General features: G+C 34.2%; 1 protein-coding gene and 1 pseudogene across 1 annotated transcript in view; one reads left to right on the forward strand and one right to left on the reverse strand.

Moving 5' to 3' along the window:
• The window catches only part of PIGK (phosphatidylinositol glycan anchor biosynthesis class K), a 130,442-nt gene that overhangs the window by 34,326 nt on the left and 70,631 nt on the right, over nucleotides 1-25,485 (reverse strand). The gene's annotated exons all lie outside the window — the stretch shown is intronic.
• RPL17P6 (ribosomal protein L17 pseudogene 6) lies at nucleotides 5,779-6,389 on the forward strand (annotated as a pseudogene).

Genomic DNA, 25,485 nt, shown 5'->3' on the forward strand with positions numbered 1-25,485 from the left:
TAATTATCTTGAAAAATAAATGAAACAAGATTGGCTAAGTCTCTAGGGCTTCAGTTAAGGAATCTAATGAGAACTCTAGAATCTCTCCCATGAAAAAGGCAGATATACAAAAAAAGACAAAATTTTCATATGATTTAAGAGCTTCAAGAACCTCTTATCTAGGTAAAAGTTTGTGGATATCTTGCAGAATTTGCATAAAAATAACTAGCTTAATTTGAGAGAACTCTGAAGATTCTCACTAATGATGGAAAAAAAAAACTGCCTCAAAACATGTTTCACAGAGACAGAAAGCAGAATGGTGGCTGCCAGGAGCTGGGAGGAGGGGACACTGGGGAGTAATTGTTTAACAGATAGAGGTTCCGTTCGCAAGATGAAAAAAGTTCTGGAGATGGATGGGGGGATGATAGTTACACAATAATATAAATGTATTTAATGCCACTAAAGTGTATACTGAAAAATGATTAAAATGATACGTTTTATGTTATGTATTTGTTATGGGCTGAATTGTGCCCTTCAACAAACTCCAAAATTCACATTTTGAAGCCTAACCACCAGTACCTTAGAACGTGACTGTATTTGTAGACAGGGTCTTTAAAGTAGTAATTAGCTTACATGAGGTCATTAGGGTTGATCCTACTCAAATATGACTGGTATCTTTATAAGAGGAGGAGCGCAGGACACCGAGACAGTAAAGATCACATGAAGACACTAGAGGAAAATGGCCATCTACACGTCAAGGAGAGAGACCTTAGGAGAAATCAATCCTGCTGACATCATCTAGCCTCCAGACTGTGAGGAAATACATTTATGTTGTTTAAGCCATCCAGTCTCTGGTATTTTGTTATGGCAACCCTAGCAAACTAATATCTATTAGCATTAGATATTTTTACCTCAATTAAAAAATAAACTAAAGTAAATACTCATTGACCAAAAAAAAACACAACTTGCTTTAAAGCATTTCACAGTGTATCTTTTAAAAGTTTATTTACATTATGTATAAAAAACACATACAGGCCAGGCACAGTGGCTCACGCCTGTAATCCCAGCACTTTGGGAGGCCGAGGCGGGTGCATCTCTTGAAGTCAGGAATTCGAGACCAGCCTGGCCAACACAGTGAAACCTCGTCTCTACTAAAAATACAAAAATTAGCCAGGCATGGTGGTGCGCACCTGTAGTCCCAGCTGCTTGGGAGGCTGAGGCAGGAGAACTGCTTGAACCCGGGAGATGGAGGTTGCAGTGAGCCAAGACTGCGCCACTGCACTCCAGCCTGGGAGACAGAGCAAGAGTCTCAAAACAAACAAACAACAAAAAAAAAAACACACACACGCAGCAACAAAAGAAAAAGCAGACAAACTGTATAGACATCATCAAATTTCAAGACTCCTTTGTTTCAAAGGACACAATCAGAATGAAAAAACAGTCTACAGAATGGGAGAAACTTTTTGCAAATCATATAACCAAAAAGGGACTTGTATTAAGAATGCATAAATACAACTCAAGAATAAAAAAGCGAACAACTCAATATTTTTCCTTCCTTATCAAGGACATTCTTAAGTGCAAATGATGTATTTTTGTTTGTTTCTTTTCTACTGTGGTCAATGGTGGGAAGAATACAGTGACCACTTGTGCAGTTTGATTCCAGTGCCTTGATTCCTGTTAAGGCACCAGCAGTTTTAATAAATATCTTCTGAAAAAATAAAAATTAAATCACTGACATTAATTCTAAGAGTATAAAAGAAATATGACAAAGTCACTCTTCATTGGCTCTTCCAAAAATCTAAAACAAGATGAAATACATTTTTTTCTCACAAAATGTCTCTTACTCAATATAAAAGATATTCTTTAGGTATACAAAAATATTTGAAATCTGGCAACTTGTTTTGAATAACTTTTTAAAATGCCATGTAGCTGTTATGAAAAATTCCAAACATGTTTCTGTATTTTTTATATTATTTTCACGGAAACATTTAAAAGTGAGCTGCAGATACCATGACAGTTCACATCTAAATATTTCAGCAAAATGTTTATCAACCAAGGATATGTCTGAAATGTTTCTTAATAACAGCAGCACTTTTTCCAAATGCAATTCACAAGTAATCTTGAGTATCACTGTGGATATATGAGTATTTTACTTATCCAGTGTTTCATAATCAATTAAAATGATTACTCATTTTTATAATTTCTTAAAAACACATGTCCATTGCTTTCTTGCTTTATTTTGATATCAAGAAGTGTGATGCTAAATTGGTTCTATGTTAATTATTTTCATTTTTAATTACTTTTAATTTTTAAATTACTAATTTATTGGCTTAGAAGCTCAGGCAGCTTTTATTTTCCCTTTTGTTTTAAGGTCTAATACTATATCTTAAAAGTTGATTGTTATAAATCAAGTTTCCCAGGTATACAGGAAACAGGAGTCCTTTCAATATGGAAATTCAGATCTCATTTTATTTCAAAAAAAGTTTTATTATAACTTTAAATACCATATCTGTTAATTTTCCACTTGTTTCCTAGTTCAAGGTGTTGAACTAAATATATGGAAAATTCTCTTTCTGATCCTTTTTATTTCTCTTATTGCAGATTATTTTCTTGGCTCTTTCCATTCTTTACGTCTTTTATTGAACTTTTGGAATATCTATCTTCCCTTGTCTACCTTGTGATTTACTTTTCATTTCTGAGATGATTTTTGTCTTTTTTCACCATTTACTTTCCCGAGTTCAGTCAGCTGCTGTTTCACATATCTTCCTGTTTGTCCATTTCAACTGTGAGTTTTTGAATGTCTGATTCATGGTGTCCTTTCATAATGCAATTGCTTGTTTAATATAGGTTATTCGTGTTCAGATGTTTCATTTCAGTTTTCCTGTTTTGTAATTTTTCTTTGATTTCTTCCCTTTTTATTTGTGCTTTCATTCTGTGTGTGTGTAATTTACTAAGAAGATTTGATTTTAATTTTGTTTTATACTTACTGTGACTTTGTAAAGGTGCTGGCTTCTTTTTCTGTTGAGGATTATTTGTATTGGCTTTTTTAGAATGAGCAGTAACAAGTTATCTTGCAATGGAGGGTGAACGGAGGTAAGCTGACTTACTAGGTTTCTCAGTTCAACAGCACCCTCTTCTGTGGCTTCACTGAAGTGTAGTTGCTTTAATAAGTGGCACTTTTTGTGGTGGGAGGGACAAGATTTGTCTTAAAAAAAAAATCATCTTGTTCCCATAGTGCCCTTATCTTCAGCTGCTTTCTTCTTTCCTTTCACCACCACGACTCCAAGGGACACCACAGCCCCACTCTGTCCTTTGCAAGGTGTCTTCCATTATCCCAGAATTCATGGTTTCCCAAGATTGTCACCTTAAGGTCATCCATACATTCTAAGCCCCATCTTGCAAATCATTATTAGTCAGGTCTCTGACAAACCATATATAATTCAGAATGAGAAAACTACAAATATTAATTTCAATTTACATGTGGCAGCCATCCTAAAGGAACCTGGAACTTTTCTCCTGTAAAATGGTAAAGTTCTCTTTTCTTAAAGTCATCCAAGTGTTCCTTTTACTTAACATTTTGAGTCATTTCAGAAGCCCCCCTAAAAGAATGTTCTTTTTCCATGATCTCTTTCCAAGGTCCTTCACTAAGAAAATCTACTTAAATAACTTAATAAGGGAATAATTTCTACATGGAAAAAGCTGTGCATTCCTTATTTTGCTTTACTATTTTTTTAAATAGAGATTTTGTAGAAGACAACACATGGTATTTGCTTACTTTATAATAGGATTTTGACTCCAATAGAGTCATACTACCATCTCAAATGAAAAGACAATTAAAATACTGTCCAAATCCTCTGCATAAATAAAATACTCCTGGCAAATTATGAAGCCTATGAAGTTAGTCTTTACAATCCCCCTGTGCTTTCTGTATCCTTTTTCTCTTTCATGTTTATCCAGTGCCTGAAAAATCTTTCTCTTCTGTGCTATCCAAGTACTCCTAAAATAACACTGTAAAATTATTTACTGTGTCCACACAGAAGGTTCTCTCTAACTCAGAAAGAGTAAAGTTTATATTCTATAGTGCCACACTGAGATCAGACAATTCACGTATAAAATAACATACAGCCAGGTATGATGGCATGTTCCTATAGTCCCAGCTACGTGGGAGATTGAGGAGGAAGGATCATTTGAGCCTAGGAATTAGATACCAGCCTGGGTTACATAGTGAGACCCCATCACAAATAAATAAACATAAAATTACATAGTTTATTTCAGGTAGAAGGCCAAAGCATCTTTCCAAACACTGGAAATAAAGCCAACAAAACGAACAAGAAAGCAGAGACACTGTGCTATGCTAGAAACAAACTAAAAATTAAGAATATCAATAAATAATTAAAGACACATCATCTAGAGTAATCCAAAATCATTAGGAAGAAATTCTCTACACATACCAAAAATAGGAAGGTAGCCCAATAGTTAGTATAACCTGTTTTGAAAATGACAGCTCAAAGAAGCACTTGAAACTAAAAGGAAATAATAGAGAAATCAAATTAATTTCTTCTTACAATCTTTGGAAAAAAGGATAGAAAAGTTCACACTCCTAAACTGCATTTTTAAATGTTCATATAGTTATATAATAGATAACACATATTGTACAAGATATAATTGATAAACCTGAAAATTTAAAGACACTCCGAGTGAAGAAAACTGAAGTTTATTGGTCAATGGAGACAAACACAAAATGCTATTACAAATTCAGAAAGGTCCCAAGAGTCACTAAAGATTATTTTTGTGAAAACAGATTATACAGCAATGAGAAAACAATTTAATACATTATTTCCCTCAAAATGAGATCCCCTCCAAACTCCCTGCATCACTATTTTTCTAATTATCAAACTAAAAACTTGTGAGAGAAGATATGAAAATAGAACTTCAGTTAAAAGCTACTTTAAAGAAGCACAAGAAAGATGGTAAGCCAGGGAAAAAAGACATAATATGAGGCAGAGAACAGCAAGTTAAGTCCAAAGAGAACTAAGGTTACACTAATTTATGGCCCAACTGTTGATACACATCTTATTTACTGTCAGTTTCCAATGTAGTATAAAAATGCACACACCAGTTAAATAAGAAGACCTGCCAAGCAACTCAGTAAAGCTGATATAATAAAATCCCAGAAAAATAAACTCTTTTTCTCATTTGAGAGACTTTAAAAGTAACTTCTTGTATGGTAAAAATTATAGGCAGGCTTTCCAGAAGTTCACACAACCAGCTAACCTGAATGCACAAGGAACTATCTGTGTAGAGTCAAAGGCAATTCTAAAATAGTAGTGTAGAGTTCTGGGGGATGTCAGAGAAAAAACTTGTCAAAATCATTGAGCACTTACTCTGAACTCTACTAAATCTATCAGGAGTTAATGTATATTGTTCCAGTCATTTTATTTTGCTTTTACACACATATTTATATACACATGAAATATATATAGAATATCTACAAATCATTTCATTAATAAATTATACAGTGTAATTCAGCCACTAGCTTTTTTCATTCAAATGTGAGCTCAAATGTGACCTGTCACCTGTTTCTGTATGTCCTGTTAGCTAAGAATGGCTTTTATGTTTTTGAATGGTTAGAAAAAATAAGTCTAAAGAAAAATAACATTTCATGACTAGTGAAAATTACACAAAATTTGAATTTCAGTGTTGCACTATAACAGCAGAGCTGCATATTTACAACTGAGACCATATGGCCTATGACCTACAAATGCTTTAAATATTTACTATCTAGCTCTTTCCCTAAGCAGCCTGAGGTAATCTGTGAAAATGGTTCGCTACTCACTTGACCCGGAGAACCCCACGAAATCATGCAAATCAAGAGGTTCCAATCTTCGTGTTCACTTTAAGAACACTCGTGAAACTGCTCAGGCCATCAAGGGTATGCATATACAAAAAGCCACGAAGTATCTGAAAGATGTCACTTTACAGAAACAGTGTGTACCATTCCGACGTTACAATGGTGGAGTTGGCAGGTGTGCGCAGGCCAAGCAGTGGGGCTGGACACAAGGTCGGTGGCCCAAAAAGAGTGCTGAATTTTTGCTGCACATGCTTAAAAACACAGAGAGTAATGCTGAACTTAAGGGTTTAGATGTAGATTCTCTGGTCATTGAGCATATCCAAGTGAACAAAGCACCTAAGATGCGCCGCCGGACCTACAGAGCTCATGGTCGGATTAACCCATACATGAGCTCTCCCTGCCACATTGAGATGATCCTTACGGAAAAGGAACAGATTGTTCCTAAACCAGAAGAGGAGGTTGCCCAGAAGAAAAAGATATCCCAGAAGAAACTGAAGAAACAAAAACTTATGGCACGGGAGTAAATTCAGCATTAAAATAAATGTAATTAAAAGGAAAAATAAAAAATAAAAATAAATAAATAAATAAATAAATATTTACTATCTGGCCCTTTACAGAAAAAGTTGCCCAACCTATACATTAGAATAATTATTTAGAAGTGGACTTGCTGGGTCATAAGTTATGTACATTTTAAATTTTGCTAGAAACAAGTAAATTGCTATCCAAAATGACTGTATCAATTTATACTGCCACCAGAAATGCATTAAGTTCCTATTTCCTTTCATCATCACCACTTAAATTTTTATAAGAAATAGTATCTCATTGTTTTAATGTCCATTTCCCTTCTAAAATCACCTTTAGGTGATCACTAACATGAGTCTTTTCCTCTTCTTAAACTGTATTTCTTTTTTCTTCTATTTGGTTTGTCTTTTAAAAAATTAATATGTGGCGTTATTTCGATAATCTAGACAGAAATTCTTTGAAATAGATGTTACAAATAACGTCACCACACTTTTTCTTCTCTTTTAACTTTGTTTGCATTGTCTTTTTTTTTTTTTTTTGCTATATATGATATTCTATTTCGTTAATCTTTGACAATCTTTTTCTATTAGCTGTGATTTGGGTAGTGTGACACCTTTCCCTACTCCTAAGCAAAAAAAAAAAAAAAAAAAAAAAAAAAAAGACATTCTGCAATAATTCTGATGTTTTCTTTTTGCATTTTTATCTTTAATCCATTTGTATTTTGTTTTTACGTACAGTGTAAAGGGGAAATCTAATTTTGTTTCTCCATGGCAAACCAATTGCTTCAACGTAGAATTTTTTGACTTACCTATCCTTTCCTCCAAGTAAAACCATATCTATCACACATATATCGTTATGCATGAGTCTGTGGGGGCTTTATAATATGTTGTATATTTATTTACCTAATCTGAACCAATATCACATTATCTGAATCATCACAACTTTAAAATAGAAAATGCTGGTGTCAGACAGACTAAATGCCTCTCCCACCACTACTGTTCATACTCCTTAGTCATCCAAATGGCTTTGGCTTTTTCTTCCTTTACTAGTCCACATGAATTTGATAGCCAGCTTATTACGTTCCATGAAGAATCCTAGAAAGGCAGAATGTAGTAATAGTTAAGAGAGCATACCTGGAGTCAGACAGCTAGCACTTCCACTTATGAGTTGTGTGACCAGATACAAACCTCTCCACATCTGTAGTCACATATAAAATGACTACATACTCCACAGCTGCTTTGAGGATTAAACAAGTTAATAAATTCAAAGTGCTTAGAATAGTGTTGGGTATTTATTAAATACTGGAAGTTTAAGAGAAATTGAATTGTATTTATTTACAGATAATTTAGATAAAATTATATGATAATTTATTCTTCTCATCCCTAAACATGTTCCACCTCTCCATTTATAGGTGTTCCTTTATGATCTATAATTAATTTTATTTTGTCTCCATAAAGAAGATGTACATCTTTTAAGATGTATAATCGGGTGGCTTATAGCTTTTGTTGCTTATTTTGTATTAATACATCTATAGACACATGCATATATCTATTATATATAAATAATATAGGAATATATACTATTGATTTCCATGTAATGATCTTTTATCTGGCAATCTTACTAAACTCTCTTATTAAATTTAATATTGGTAGATTCACTTAGATTTTTCCATTACATAGCATCTGTGAAAAAAAGGAAGGGAGAGTTCCTGATCCTCACACCTCCTATTTCTTTTCCTTACTCCATTAGTTGAGACTTTTTGTGCAGTAACAAATAGATGGGATTATAGCATGTATTCTTATCTTGTCCCCGATTTTCATCGAAATGCTTCTATAATTTCACACTATATAAAGTTTGCTGCTAGCTTTAGACACATTCCCTTTATTATCTCCCATTTATCTGCAGTGTCTAAGCCACATTGCCTTTTTAAAAAACATTATCATTTATGATTAATGATTTTATTCAAATGTTTTTTCTGTATCTACTGAAATAATTACAAAATATTTCTCATTTAATGTATTGATATGATGAAATACACTAGTATATTTTCTAATCCTGAATCATTCCTGTAATTTTAAGATAATTTCTATTTGGTCATGAAATGTTTTTATACATTACTGAATTTGAATTTTATTTAAGATTTGTACATCTGTGATCACAAGTGAGGCTGACTCTCTATTTTCTTCATTCTCTCTGTCTTGTTTTGGTTTCAGAATTATATTCGTTCCACCAAATGAGGTAGGAAGCTTTTTTATTCTGTTCATATTATGTCAGCACCTCAAGTGGTTAATAAATGTCAAATGTAAAAACCATCTAAGTCTGCTGTCTTGTTTGCAGTTTGTTGGGAAAGGGTACATGTTTTATACAATTAAAAAAGGAGTATCCTTCAGTTGAAGGCTTAATTTATTTCTTTTACTTACTTTCTTTCTAAATCTAAATATTACGTTAGCCACCTCCAAAGTGATTTTTATATCCTTATACTGAAAATGTCTCATGTAAATAGCACATTTTTAGGTTATGTTTTTAATTTAGTATGACTTTTTTCTTTGAAATAGGGTACTTGGTCCAATTACATTTAATGTAATAAGTGATATAGCTGGATTTACAACTACTACCTATTTTCTATCTCCCATCTGTTTGAATTTCCTTTTTCTTCTTTTGAATCAGCCAAATATTTTATTACATCTTTTTTTCTGCTATCAACTTGATAGGTGTATTTTTACCATTATCGTAACAATTACCTTGGACATTAGAACACCCAACTTGGACCTGGTAGTCTAATCAAACTGTTCAACATTACCATTTCTTCAATAATAGTAGTACCTTACAACACTTTGACTCCATTTGTCCTCCTGCCTTTGACCTTATTATTGTCATACATTTTAATTCTATGAATACTTTAAACTCAACAAGATGGTGGGGTTTTTTGTCTGATTAATAGTCAATTATTTTAATTGATATATTTACTGATTCTGGCTCTCTTCATTCTTTACTGAATTTTGTTGTTTCTCTTTATAATCATTTTATTTCTGGCTGAAGAATTTCATTTAGTTTTATTTTATTTCAAGTGCATTGGCAACAAATTCTCTGTCTGAAAAACATTTTGATTTCATCTTCACTTATGTAAGATATTTTTGCTGTGTAGAGAATGATAGGTTAAAAGTTTTCTTCCTTTCACCACTTTAAACATGTCATTCTATTGTTTTATGGTTCTGATTGTAATAATATGTCAGTATTAAAGATAATGTCAGGCTTTCCTTCTCTGTCAGGCTTTTAAGTTTGTTCTCTATGTTTTTTCAGCATTTTGACTATGATGTGGCAAATTGTGGTTTTCTTTGCATTCATTTTGCTTACAATGAATTAACTGAATATGTGGTCCGATATATTTCATTAGTTTAGGAAAATGTTTATTATCACTTTAAATATTGTCTGTTCTTCCTTATTTTCAATCTGTCATCTAGTTTGGGATGTTATTTACACACATGTTGGACCATTTTTCTGTGTCTAACATATCTCGTACTGTTTGTTTTTTCTGTGCTTCAGTTTCAATATTTTCTATTGTACTGTCTTCAAGTTCACTAATTCTATCATCTTCTGTATCCAATTTGCTGTTAAGCCATCGATTGAGTTCTTAACTTCAGATACCATATTTTTCAATATTAGAATGTTCATTATTTTAGTTATAAGCTCTGGTGAAACTCCCCACCTTTTCATCTATTTTCAAGAATATTTTTCCTATTTTCTTGAACATCTTAAACATAGTTATTTTAAAGTTTTTGTCTACTACCTCCAAGTTCTGGATCACTTCTGAGTTTGCTTCTATATTCTGTGTTTTGTTTTTCTCTTGGTATATGATTACGGTGTACTAGTAATTTTTAATTGATGGATGTAGGAAACTGCATACTTAAGAAAGGTTATATACAGTGTTATTTTCCACTTAAGAAGGTCCATGTGTTCCTCTGCTGGGCAGTTAAGAGTGATACTCTGATCACTTTTACTCATTCAGGGACTGAGCTGAATTTAGACCACCTGAAAATTTTGATAAAACTAATTCATTACACCTTAATGTGGCCCTATTCTAATGGTGAGGCCCTTCAAGGTTTTCAGTTGAAAGCCTGGCAGGTCTTTGTCTCAACACAGAGAGAGTAAGACTATAGAGATTTCTAATATAATTTTCAAAGGTTTCTGACTTACATTTTTGGACTATTGTCCTGCACAGCTTAAGAATTTGGCATGCCAGCCTCACTGAACTGCCAAAAGCTGTACTGATCACTCTGTCCCCGTTAGTAACCCTTTATCAGAGGCCAAGCCCAAATTCTCACCTATAGCGCAGAGGTATGTGACTTTTCTATGCAACTAATCACCTCAATCATTATAGTATGAAAGCAGCCATGATGATATGTAAATCAGTGAATAAGGCTGTTTTCCAATAAAACTTTATTTTAAAAAATAGGCAACAAGAAGATTTGGCCCATGGGCCATAGTCTGCTGACTTCTGCTTTTGCTGCACCCGGAAAAAGCAAGTGTACCCAAGAGAAAAAAGTGGCTAGAAACTGTCAGCATTAGTTCACCACAATCTCCAGAGCTGTCACCTCTTACCTGGTACATTCTTAAGGGGCTCTCATCCTGAAGATGTTTATCTCCTCAGTAATACAAGACTAGTAAATTCATAGCTCTGGTTATCAGATGTTTTTTGCTTAGTAATTTAGTTTCCCTTTAGTTTTAGAATTTGGCAAGTATTTTGAAAGGAAAATTGGTAATATGATTGAGGCAAATATCTTGAAAAGGAAAGTTATTTTGAGTGAATGACAATTATGTCACTCTAGCCTAACACAGTCACCAAAAATGTTGCTGGTGAAATTTCTCTATACTCTAGCAGTGGCCCACTGCCAAGCCCAGATTCTCAACCTTTGGTCTACTCCCAGAATTGGCGAATGATTACAGAGAAAAATTGGCTACAGATTCTCAGCTCATCTCTGAGAAGTTTCCCCAAATCTAGATTTTTAGATTCTCAGTCCTCATTGCTTCTACATCTGATATTTTTAAAAATACGATTTAATCTGCCTTTCCTAATTGTTCTTGGTGAGCTCATAAGCCTACTGCAAATTATTCCATCCTGTTCAGAAGTAGAAATTGTACACTACTACTTTTGATATTTTCATTATCACTTAGTCCCAAGTATTTTTTTAATTTTCATAGGTTTTTAAATATTATTCTAAGAATTATTCAAAGAGTGTTTTCAAATTCCCAAATATATGTTTTAAACAATTCTTTTTTACTCATGATTATAACTATTACACTGTGATCCGAAAAAAAATGCTCCTCAAGATTCCAACACCTTATGTTATTAAGACTTACTCTTTTGGCCTAGTATTGGTTAATATTTGTAAACATTACAGTTGGTCTTAAAGAGAATGCTTATTCCCTAATTGTTCAATTTCTTGGCTCAAGTTTATTGATTATGTTGCTTACATTTTTAATTTTAAAACTTTTGGATGGCTCTTTTATTGGTTTCTGATAATGTAATACTGAAATATTCCATTATAATGATAAACTTATCAACCTGTTTTTTAAATATGTAAATTTTTGTTTTAAATATTTTGTGGTTATATTACTAATTAAGAGTTTAACATGCTTTTCTCTTCCTGATGAGATAAACCTTTACTTAGTTATCTTGCTTATGATTAATAATGTTATATGTTATATACTCTATGTACTATGTACTATGTGTATACACATATATGTATATGTACTATGTATATATTTTACACTATAAGTATTTAAGCTTTCTTTTGGTGAGCAGTAGTTGCCTGTAATCCTTTCATTTTCAACTATTTAATATCATTATATTTTCTGTCTGTAGTTATGCCTCTTTTTATCCTAATGCAGTATTGTTATAAACTATTATTATTCACTTATTTAAAATGTGATTAAAAAATTATCATTATTTCTCTTCACTCCTTTTACTGCCTTCTCATTGATTTTTTAATTTCACTTTTTCTCCTGCAATGTTTCTGATCTTATTTCCTCTATTTCTATTCATTTATTAATCACTCTAAAAATGTAAACTGCATACTTTCCTCACTGTCTAAAGCTATTAAAATTTACAACCCTTTTCCCAAAGGAAAAAAAAAAAAAGCTGAAACTCCAGAATACTTTAACCAATCACTTCCTCTTCTCTTACACAATGTTGTTATTAAATACATTAATACTTTGGTTTATCTTACTCCCCAAATAATTATTGTCATTGTCATTATCATCATAATTATAAAATATATTCAGTTTTTGCTTAAATTTACTCACATTTTACCAATTTATTACAGCGTTCCTATTTACACTCAGACCTCTTTTCTGGTTCATTTCCCTTTTTCAAAAAGTGCATCCCTTTAGGTATTAAGGTATTTTGATACCAAACACTCTCAGCTTTTGCATGTTTGAAAATGTCCTTATTTTTCATTCAGTCCTTAATGGTAGCTTAGCCAGCTTAAATTCTAAGCTAATAGTAATTTTCTCTCAGTACTTTATTGGTATTACTGTACTATCTTTTGGTTTCCGCTGTTGCTATTAAGATGTTTGCTGTCGGCCGGGCGCGGTGGCTCACGCCTGTAATCCCAGCACTTTGGGAGGCCGAGGCGGGCGGATCACGAGGTCAGGAGATCGAGACCATCCCGGCTAAAACGGTGAAACCCCGTCTCTACTAAAAATACAAAAAATTAGCCGGGCGTAGTGGCGGGCGCCTGTAGTCCCAGCTACTTGGGAGGCTGAGGCAGGAGAACGGCGTGAACCCGGGAGGCGGAGCTTGCAGTGAGCCGAGATCCCGCCACTGCACTCCAGCCTGGGCGACTGGGCGACAGAGCGAGACTCCGTCTCAAAAAAAAAAAAAAAAAAAAAAAAGATGTTTGCTGTCAACTTAGTTGTTACCCATTGTAGATGCCATTTTTCTCTTTGACTGATTTTTAAATCTCTTATGTACTTAGGGAGTTCTAAAATGTTCACATGAAGTATATACTCCCTGTATTGTGCTTTGGATTTGTTGAACTACCTTCAAAATGCAAAAGTATAAGCCATTATCTCTTATATTGCCTTTTGCTCATTCTATATTTTCTTCTCCCTGGAACTCTAATTAGACATAGCTAACAGTTTCCAATATTATCTTCATGTCTCATAACCTGTCCTAACACTTTCCATCTCTCTGTCTATATTTCATACTGAGTTATTTCTTTAGATCTATCTTATTTTACTAATTCTCCTTTCAGGTATGAGAAATCTTACAAAAATCATTAAAATCTTTTACTCTTTCCTGTATCTATTCATACCTTTTTGAGATACAACTTTGTAGCTCCTTCTAAGAAAAGATACAGTCTGCTTTTCCAGCCCTTGAATTTTACTTGGATTTGTGATTCCTTCTGCACAATAGGATGCAGCAAGAATAACAGGGCTCCAGTTTCAAATCTAGGCCACAAAACGTCTTGCATGCTTTTGGGACCCATGGATAACCTCCTGGAGGATAAAGGACCACATGGGAGCTGAATCAACATCAAAAGCCCCAGAAATGTGAGATAGTATAGCCAAAATCAGAAGTCACTCACTCAACCCAAAGATGACAAATTCTGAGAAAGCACAACATAAGCTAGAAGAACCATGAAGGTTGAGCCCATCCTACATTGTCAACCCTCAGAATCAAAAGCTAAATATGTGGTTGTTATTTAGACATTAAGTTTTGGAATGGTTTGTGATGCATCAATACCTCAATAATATGTCTATTATTTAATCTGTTTATTACATTTTTAATTTGAATAATTGTGGTTTACAAATATGAAAGTCTATTTGGCCTTTTCCAAATATGCCTCATCATTCTTTATCATGTAATCCTTGTGTAATCCTTCATTTCTTTCTTTTGTTTTTATTTTATCTTATTTTCCTCTTTTATTTGTATTTTATTTTATTTTGAGACAGAGTCTTACTCTTGTCACCCAGGCTGGAGTGCAATGGCACAATCTTGGTTTGGCTCACTGCAACCTCCGCCTCCTGGATTCCAGCAATCCTCCTGCCTCAGCCTCCCGAGTAGCTGGGATTACAGGTGCATACCACCACACCCGGCTAATTTTTGTATTTTTAGTAGAGACGGGGTTTCACCATGTTGGCCAGGCTGGTCGTGAACTACTAACCTCAAGTGATTTGTCCACCTCGGCCTCCCAAAGTGCTGGGACTACAGGAGTGAGCCACCACGCCTGGCCCCTTTTATTTCAAAAAATAATTTAAATGGTTATTTTGTATTTTGTAATTGATAAGTCATATATCTAATGTTCTTGTAGGTCTAATTCTCCTGATTATTCTGTATTGTGGTAAGCAAAATTCTAAGATGACCCTCAAGATTCTTATCCCTTGGTGTTCATATGCCCTGTATTGTCCACTTTCCTGGAGAATAGGCAGGACTGTGAATAAGATAAACTTCACTCCTATGATAAGGTTATGTTATATGACAAAAGTGAGGGAATTTTGCAAATATAATTAAGGTCTGAAATCAGTTCACACTTAGTTAATCAGAAGGAGACTGTCCTGAATGGGCTTGACCTAACCAGGCAAACCATTAAAAGGACCATGCCCTTCCTAAAGTTAGACAGATTGAAAATAGGAGAGACTCTACTGCAGGCTTTGAAGACACAAACAGCCATACTGTGAACTGCCTTTGGAGGGGCCATGAGGCAAGGACCTAAGACAGCTTATAGAAGCTATGGATAGTGTTTGGTTAATACTCATAAGAAAATGGGATTTCAGCCCTACATGTGCAAGGAACTGAATTTTGTCAACAATGAGTGAGCTTGGAAGAGGACGCCAAGCCTCAGATGAGACCACAGTATCAAGTGGTCTTTTTCAGCCTGTGAAACTTTAGGTAAAGGACCCAGCCAACCTGTACGCACACTTCCAACCTACAGATACTGTGAGATAATACATGGGTGTTGTCTTGCACTGCTGAGTTTGTGGTAGCTTGTTATACAGCAGTAGAAAACTAATACTCTCACGGGATTAGCTTGCTTTCTCAAATTGTCTGTAATTTAAGAACATGAACACCTTAATCCGTGAGGATCCTGAGGAACCTCAATTGAGAATGATTCCTAAATCGAATTTGAGTTTGCTTCTGTCTTGCTTTGGGTTACTATCAATCTAGTATCACTTCAACTGAATTGCTCAACTTTAAATTTCTTGGGCCAAGAAGGTTAACCATGTTAAATCACATGAGAGTATGACTGATTACATATTCCCAGGGAAGCCTCTTTTACCCCCATATCTCTAGCCAAGGCAAGAGAAACGTCCTCATTTTCTTCCCCTCAGGCTGTTAGATTTTATTCCAGCCCACTCTCTGATTGAGGGTAAAGCCTTAGAAGTTAATGGTTTTATGTAGAGGTCTTAAGCTCAACTGTCAACAAATGGATCCACAGTCTTTTCTCCTAACCCTCACACAAAGCCATTCTAACTCAAAACTCTAGGTTTCTATATTAGTACATGTTAGGCCGTCCTGCCTTCCACATTCATTCGGCACTTGAGTTTTAGCGTCTATGTGTTTTTTCCCAAGAGATTTCCCTACTGTTGAGCAAAGTGGAGCTTCCTCTGTTGCAAGCCACTGTTCAGCAATAGGCTCCTGCGAATACTTTCTGCTACTAGATAAAAAGACCAATAGCAGGATAAGTCACACAGTCCCCTGTAAAGGTTTCTTTAGATGAAGGTGCAGCTGGAAACACCATGGGTTGGATCAAGGAGGAAATTACAACCCTAAATCACATGAGAGCCCTAAAGCAAGAAAGGGCTCCCATAGACACTCCCGCTTTTTAAAGTAAATCTATACTGTCCTTGCAAAAGGAGACAGTCTGAGCTTGCTGCCAACTGCTCAGGGAAGCTGCATGTTTAGAACACCAGCTGTTACTATCTAGAAACACTGTAGGAAGTAGAACCCATGTAGTCCTTACCACTGAATGAGGGGGTGCCACCAGCTCTGCTTCAATGTGGAAGAAGCCAGCAATGCTATTCATCAAATGTTGTTTGTCTCTACACACTTACTTTCTTGGCAGCTCAGCTAAGCATTTAAAAAGATCTTTTTAAAATATAATTTATAGTGCATCTAGGTATCTTGTAACGGAATAATTTTCAGAAAAATCCTGTCAGCAACATTACAAAAGTGAAGTCAATTGATTATTCTTTATTATTAACTTCAAACCATCCCTCTAAACTCATTTACATTAATTTTTTGTTCCGAGAAAGTGAAATGTTGTATCTCATTCTAATATTACAGGGTGTTCTTTTATTGAGAAATGTTTCCTTCTAATGAAATGTGAAACTATGAATGCCAAAGGCTACTGAATTCAAGCTGTATTTTTATATCTGATATAGTTTAGATATTTGTCCCTGCTCAAATATCAGGTTGAACTGTAATCCCCAATGCTGGAGGTGGTGCCTGATGGAAGGTGTTTGGGTCATGAGGGCAGATCCCTCATGGCTTGGTGCTGTCTTCACCATAGTGAGTGAGTTCCCGCAAGATATGGTCGTTTAAAAGTGTGTGGCACCTCCCCAGTGCATGCTCACACTCACTCACTCTTTCTCTCTTGCACTCTCTCCCAAACCCTTGCCTTCCTCCCTCCCTCTCTCTCTTGCTCTCACTCTCTTACTCTCCCCCAACCCCCCTGCCCCGCTCACTTACACTTGCTCCGGTTCTCATTCCTATTCTCACCATATGATGTGCCTGTTCCCCATTTGCCCTCTACCATAATTGGAAGCTTCCTGACGCCTCCCCAAAAGTAGATACCCCTATGCTTCCTGTACAGACTGCAGAACAATAAGCCAATTACCCAGTCTCAGGTATTTCTTTATAGCAGTGCAAGAACAACCTAATACAACATCTAAGGTAAAAGTGGGTTTTTTCATATTTAGTGTTAACTCATGGGAACGTCATGTACTCTTTTATTACCAGAAGTTACCTAATTTCTGGATATTCAAGGTTTTACTATATCTAACTTTCAAAGAAATAGCAGAAAAACAAAACAAAAAAAACCACTACATTTGACACTAAAACCATACAAGATTAATTTTAATCATTTTCTATGATTTAGAAGATACGTATCAGTGTTTTTACATGCAAAAGAGAAATCATTGTGAATATCACTTATTTTTTAAAGCATAAGTTAGAGCTTTCCCTTTAGTTAGATATAAGCTTTTAAAATACCTTGCTTATGCATAGCAATTACAGTAGTTACAACTGTATGTCACACTGTATAGTTCCTTATCACCTGTTTCAGTACCTTAAAGGAAAAGTACCAAAGATTGCTATAAAGCATGCAATCTTTAAATCACCTAAGAGAAATATAAAATACTATTTTCTTGCTCCATCTCTCAATATACATGCTCTAAATATACACATCTTTGCTATAAAGAAATAAACATTATAAAAATTAGATATATTAATTTTAATAAAACCCAGTTTAAACTGCTTACCAAGTATCTCTGAATCTCTGGCTGGCAATATAGTTCAGGCCAAGCAAACTAAGTCCATTACTACTTGCAGTGTAGTACAATATAATTCTCAGCCAGCACACTTAGTTATCATGTGACATAGGTATTCTGAGATCATATCCTAAGAACTCTTATATTTCATTATTTTGTCTGCTCTTTACTTCTTGGGAAATCATACTAGAACATATTAATATTAGAAGCTGATGCCATCAGATAAGGAACAGAGAACGGCTCTTAATATTGAAGTTAAAATGAAGGAACTGAAAAAGGCATTCCATACAATATAAGCTGCACGCTTCCCTTAGTAAAAGTACTTTCAGAATAATAAGTCACAATTTCATCAAATTAAAGAAAGTACCAAGCCTGGAATATCTTTGAGTATAACAAGAACTTTGTATATAATGAATGAATTTAAAGCAGAGAAAGATGGAGCATAATACAGCTCGTCAATGTTGGTAAGTCCCCTGATTTTCCTTTATTTTTATGAGAAAAATAATTTCAAAATGAAAATCTTTAATTACTTGATAGTAATTTATCTATAACATCTGTAGAAAAACATACTTTAAACAATATTTACTATATTAATTTAATAAAAGCTCACAAAAATAACCTTACTTTGACTTTTTAGGTCCACTTTGGCATTATTCAAAAAATTTTTATTATTAAATTTTGATTTTTTTGATTAAGCCCTGAGAAATCAGCTTTCTAACAAATAAAAGTTAACAGCTGTGACCCAAAATTGGTATCCAACATCAAGGATATCATGAGCAAAGATCACAGATCCGTATCATTTACCAGGTCCATTTTTCCCCCACAATAAAAGCCATAAATAGTTCAATACTAATATGGCAATGTCAGAATGAGTATTAAAAAAGACTAATAGGCTATAATACTGAATTAACACTAGTAAGATAAAAACATAAAGAAATAGGCATAAATCCTGAAATTGAGTTGTTTTTTGTTTTGTTTTGTTTTGTTTTTTAAGTCAGCTACACTGGTAAGTATGGGAAAGTCAGGCTAATAATAATTCCTGTCAGAATGGGCTATAGATGGCATGGCTGATAAAAACACAAATCAAGCTATAGAAACAGAACTATAATACACCAAATAAAGATGGCATTGTATTGCTCATTGTATCTCTTGCACTGGAGGAAGACATCAATATGACTGTGATGAGTTTTAGATGGCACACTTTTAAAAAGGCATTGACAAAGTATGTTCATTTTATATACACTACCTTCAATCTTCAAAATAACTCAGAAGGTAGAGAGTAGATCACCCTATGACAGATAAAGTATCTGAGTCTTAGAGAGATTAAATAAGGTACTGTATTAGTCCATTTCACACTGCTATAAAGAAATATCCAAGCTGGGTAATTTATAAAGGAAAGCATTTTAATTGACTCACACTTCCACATGGCTGGGGAGGCCTTAGGAAACTTACGAACATGGCAGAAGGCAAAGGGGAAGCAAGGACCTTCTTCATATGGTGGCAGGAGAGAGAAGTGCAAGCAGGGGAAAGGCCAGACACTTATAAAACCATCAGATCTTATAAGAACCCACTCACTATCACAAGAATGGCATGGGGGAAATCACACCATGACCCAATCACCTTCCTCCTTCTCTCCACACATGGGGATTACAATCCAGATGAGATTTGAGTGGGGACACAGAGTCAAACCATATTGGGAACCCAAAAAAAGCAAAATTTGAATGCAAGTCCATTCATCTCCGTGCTCTTTCTACTAGATCATGTTGCCTTAAAAGTTTCTTCTAGCACTAGGAGGGGGCAATTTGGCCATACTTCACTTGTAGAATATTTGAAAACCCAGTAGCAAGGCACACCATTATGCCAACAAAAATTGACATTTCTGAAATGGGATTACAGATTTATATATTAATGTAAATGTCTTTTCCTTCTTGTTTTACCTAACAGCTACAATCCTAAAGTGTTATTGTATAAATCAATTTTTAAAATGGAATACACTTTCCCCAATGATAAGCTAGAAATAAAGATTGTCTTATTACTAATTAGTAATAAATAATCCTCACACACAAACACCCCTTAACTTTTTTTGACCCTTCAATTTCTTGGTCAAGTATTTAATAACATGGAAACTAATATCTAAAAATATGCCATAAGTATCTGATAGATTCATCTATTTCATAGATAAACTTCCATATTGTTAGGTTTTTTTAAAGCCTACACTTACATATAGAGAGAAATTTTTACCATCCTTTATAAAAAATTTTTGTGACCCAAAATTGATATCCAACATAAAGGATATCATAAGCAAAGACCGCAGGTCTGTATCATTTACCAGGTCCATTTTTCCCCCATAATAAAAGCCATATAAAAAAATTTACATATAGAGAGAAATTTTTACCAACCTTTATAAACTGACAATTCAATATCAAAATTATTTTTCTCTACCAGTTGCCTGAAAAAACAACAATCATAATTTATTTGAAGGTATAACCTACCTTGATCGCCAGCATTTAAAAATATTAGACAGTTCCCTATATACAAATATATGATACTACTGCCATCTTCTGGTACAACACAATTTCCAAATTCTGTATAGTATTTCTATAAATGAGAATCCACCAAATATGAAATAACTAGTTTATATTACTGAAAGCAGAATTGATAACCAGCTAAATGGCTAAAATGCAGTTCAAATAGAATTCTAGCAATAATTAATTTTTATCAGTGTGTGAGATAAGTTCTCTCAATAATACTTAACACTTACTGAGTGCTTCACTATATTTGAGGCATAGAATTAAGTGCTTTCTAAGCAAAATAAAAATTACTTTAATAACTATATGAGGTAGAGTTATTATTCTCATTTTACAGATGCAGAAACTGAGGACAGAAGAGGTCCAGTAGTTTTCCCAAGGTTACATAGCTAGTAAACGGCAGAGGATCTGAATTTAGGAGCTTATTGATTCCAATGACTTTGCTTTTATTATTATATTGTAATATCCCCTATAATGTCAGATAGTAGACAATAAGTAAGTCTGTTAACTCATTTAGAATGGTAAGATTTAATTTAGTGGAGTGGAACAATAATATTACAATTAGTGCAAAGATCAGAAGAGTCACATAAATCAAAAAGACATAAATCAAAGAACTAAAAGAAACCTTAAGGGTCTCAGAATTTATTTTTCCATATGATACAGAACTTTATCGTCTAAAAATCCAAATGAATTTGCCTCTAATTGTTTTATAAATATCATATGATTTGTAGATTTTATACAATCAAAAAGTTTAGGTGCTATGCATTTAGTGTTTAAATTAAAATTAACTTTGCTTTGACATATTTAAGAATATTAATAAACATTAGTTGGAAACTACTACTCCTAGTAAACATATTTGCCAATTTATATTTAGAGATGTTTTATTAACACAAAGGGATATGGTACTATGTTGTGCTATACTATTTATATATACTGATTTCTTAGAAGTCATAAAGCAACTCAATAGACGCTTTTGTTAATTACAGATAGGGCAGTGAAATAAACTGCTAAAAAACAAAAACAAAAAACTACCCATGATATGACCAATCCATTTTGAAACTATAACAATAAGAACTTTATCCATATGCAAAATGACAAAATGAGTAATTTAATTATGTTTTGGTGCCTTTATAAATTAAACGAATCACATCTAATTTCTGAAATTTCATTTTAATGAGCTTTTGAATAACTGAAGTGACAAACAGCTGTAAATAACAATATAAAATAAATGACAAAATAAAATGCTGAGATAATGTGGAATTATACTGATGAGTAAATTAATCACTTTGAAAAATATAGTAACATGTAGAAAAGTATAGGAGAAATCCTGTCAACTGTTACTTGAATCATTTTGGTGAATTTTTGGTTCATAAAGTTTTATAATTGTATCAATTTACTATCAGCAATTTTAAGCGAATCATGTGATCATAGTTTCATATTCTTCACAATCAATTTTACCCGAATCTCAAAGAGATGTTACTATTGAATATGTAAATTTAACTTTTGATTTAATTTCCTAGTAAATATTATAAATAGACTAGAATCCATATGTTCAATAATGTAATATATACTATAGTAGGTCCTTTACATTTCCATATAAATTTTGGAATCAGCTTGTCAATCTCTACCGAAAAATAAAAAAATAAAAAGCCTGCTGGGGTTTTGATTGGAATTGGGTTGACCCCAAATCAATAAGATCTCAGAAAAACAGTCAATATAAAATCAATTGTAATACTTCTGCATTTGAGCAACAAACAAATGTAATGTTTTAAAAATAACATACAAAATGTTTAGGAATAAATTTAATAAAATGTGTAGGAAATATCTACAATAAAACAATATAGAGAAATTACATGAGATCTAAATAACTGTAGAGATATACTCACGGATTGTGAGGACTCAATACTGTTAAGCTGTGATACAGCCCAATATAAAGTTAATTCAATCCCAATCAAAATCCCAGTAGGCTTTTATTCTTTTTCTTTTTTTACTTTAAGAAACCTACAAGCTGATTCATAAACTTATATGAAAATGCAAAGAACCTAGAACACTGAAAACAACCTTGAAAATGAAAAAAAAAATTTGGAGGACTTATATAATTTCAGGAGTTTCTATAAAACTACAATAATCAAGAATGTAATAGTGGTATAAAGATAGAAATATTACAATGCAACAAAATAAAGTCCAGAAATAGACCCCCAAAACATGATTTTTTGACAAAGGGATCAACATAATTCAATGAGGAATAAATACAGATGCTGCTCAACTTATGATGGAGTTATGTCCCAATAAACTCATTGTAAATAAAAAATACTGTAAATTGAAAATGAATTTAATACCATGATAAACCCACTATGAAGTCAAAAATGATAAGTCGAACCATTGTAAGTAAGTTGGAGACCATCTGTAATTTTTTCAACAAATGTTACTGGAATATTTGGATGTCCATATGGAAAAAAAAATGAACCTTAACCCCTACCTCACACAATACTCAAAAATTAATTCAAAATGGATCACAGACCTACACATAAAAGCTAAAACTATAAAACTTCTAGAAGAAAACAAGAAAATCCTAATGACCCTGGTTAAGCAAAGACTGCTTGCATAATAGGTACTAAGCATAAAGAAAAAATAAGTGGATTTCACCAACATTTAAATTTCTACCCTTCAAAAGACATCACTAAGAAAATGAGGCTTGGCACCACAGCTCATGCCTCTAATCCCAGTGCTTTGGGAGACACAAGCAGGAGGATCGCCTGAGGCCAGTAGTTTTAGATCAGCCTGGATAACATAGCAAGACCCTGTCTCTAAAAAAAATGTAAAAGAGGCCTGGCAAGATGGCTCACACATGTAATCCCAGCACTTTGGGAGGCAGAGGCAGGTGGATTGCCTGAGCTCAGGAGTTCGAGGCCAGCCTGGGCAACACGGCGAAACCCCGTCTCTACTAAAATACAAAAAAATTAGCCAGGCATGGCAGCATGCACCTGTAGTCCCAGCTACTCAGGAGGCTAAGGCAGGAGAATTGCTAGAACCCGGGAGGCGGAGGTTGCGGTGAGCCAAGATTGTGCCACTGCACTCCAGCCTGGGCGACACAGCGAGACTCTGTCTAAAAAAAAAAAAGTAAAAGAAAAATTAGCCAGGCATGGCAGCTTGAGCTTGTAGTCCCAGCTACTTGGGAGGCTGAGGTGGGAGGATCACCTAAGCCTGAAAGTTCAAGGGTACAGTGAGCTATGACTCTGCATAGGCAAGAGAGAAAGACCCTGTGAGGGAAGATGAGGGAAAGAAGGGAGAGACAGGAAGGAGGGGAGGGGAGGTGCATTAGTCTGTTTTCACACTGCTGACAAAGACACACTCGAGACTGGGAAGAAAAATAGGTTTAATGGACTCACAGTTCCTCATAGCTGGGGAGGCCTCAAAATCATGGCAGAAGGCAAAAGGCGCTTCTTACTTGGTGGCAGTAAGAGAGAATGAGAGGGGAGCAAAAGCAGAAGCCCCTTATAAAGCCATCAGATCTCGTGAGACTTATTCACTACCATGAGAACAGTATGGGGGAAACCACCCCCATGATTCAATTATCTCCCACCGGGTCCCTCCCACAACACATGGGAATTAGGGAAGTAAAATTCAAGATGAGATTTGGGTGGGGACACAGAGCCAAACCATATCAGGAGGAGAGAGGAGGGAACGGGAGGGGAGGTGAGGGCAGGGGAGAAAAATTCAGACTAGGTAAGTTTCTTCTAACCCACTAACATAAGAGGTGAGTGTTTAGAGTTCATAATGTCTTAGATTCTGTTTTTCCTTAGGTAATTCTATAGAATTTAGACTTCTACAAATTTGGTAACACTAAAATGTGCAAAATTTTTACAGTCACAACCTGGAGGATATCTTCCTAATACAGAAAAGATACAAAACTGGTAACCTCAGTAAAAGGTTTTCTGACACAGAATTACCACCAGATTCAAAAAACCCAACTCTTTGAAGAGGAAGAGAGTTTATCTGTCTGCATACTTATCCAAAGCCAGCCTATGTATACTACGATGAAGCTGTTTAAAATCAAGTTACCTAAGCAAAGCTTATTACAATCAGTCCTTATTTTACCTCATCTGCTCTTGCAAATAAATTACAACACAATTAGTAAGACATATGCAGAAACAAAGGGTTGTTACTATATAACTTTATCTTACTTAACATATGTAAGTTTCAGAAGACACATAAAAACAATTCTTATTTCATAAAGGTACTCCCAATCAGTTTTATGTACTAAAGTTCTCCATCATATCTGATTTTACTCTAGTGTACTACACAAAATATAAAATATGAATAACTGAATCAATGGACTCCACTGTTTCCCTAATATGTGTAGAAAGTATTTCTAACTGTCAATTTTAATAACAGTGTGTTGATAATTTAACCTAAGATTTTTTTAAATGCATATATACTCCAGCCTATAATTTCCTTAATAAAATAGTTTTTTATGATATCTGATCTCTCATTATATACTTTAAATAAACTTTGGATTGCCATTCATATTTGCATGCAAACAGCACCTACATACAATGAGATAATATTTATAGCATCTATGTAAAAATTCCTGAACCACTGGGAGCCTGATTCTCATAAATTAACTGAATAAAGTACACCAATAATTATGAAGCCATCTGGTAAATAGCAACATTGTAAATAAAATTTATTTATAAACACTAGAGGGTGCTCTAATTCAACAGTGCTTGATATCTGGCTGTGATATTTAAAGTAATTTTCTCCTTGATTAAAAACAACAATCTTCGGCAATGACAATTTTTGCTACTGTGCTAATACATACAAATAATTTAAGAGCCAAATTCCATTCTTCCAGAACATATAACAAAACAATTTGTCAACATAGGCAATATAAAAAAAACGCAAATTGTGACATCAAAAATTCAAAATGTCGGGGGAGAGGGAGTTAATGTGCACAGGTTTTGGTTTGTTTGTTTGCTTCTTTTCTCTTTTTTGGTGATTGAAGTTACGTTAGCATCAGTTTTTGTTTTTTGGTTTTTTTTTTTTGAGACAGAGTCTTGCTCTGTCGCCAAGCTGGAGTGCAGTGGCGCGATCTCGGCTTACTGCAGCCCC

The sequence above is a fragment of the Homo sapiens genome, chromosome 1 (genome assembly GCF_000001405.40).
Source record: "Homo sapiens chromosome 1, GRCh38.p14 Primary Assembly".
Taxonomy (NCBI): domain Eukaryota; kingdom Metazoa; phylum Chordata; class Mammalia; order Primates; family Hominidae; genus Homo; species Homo sapiens.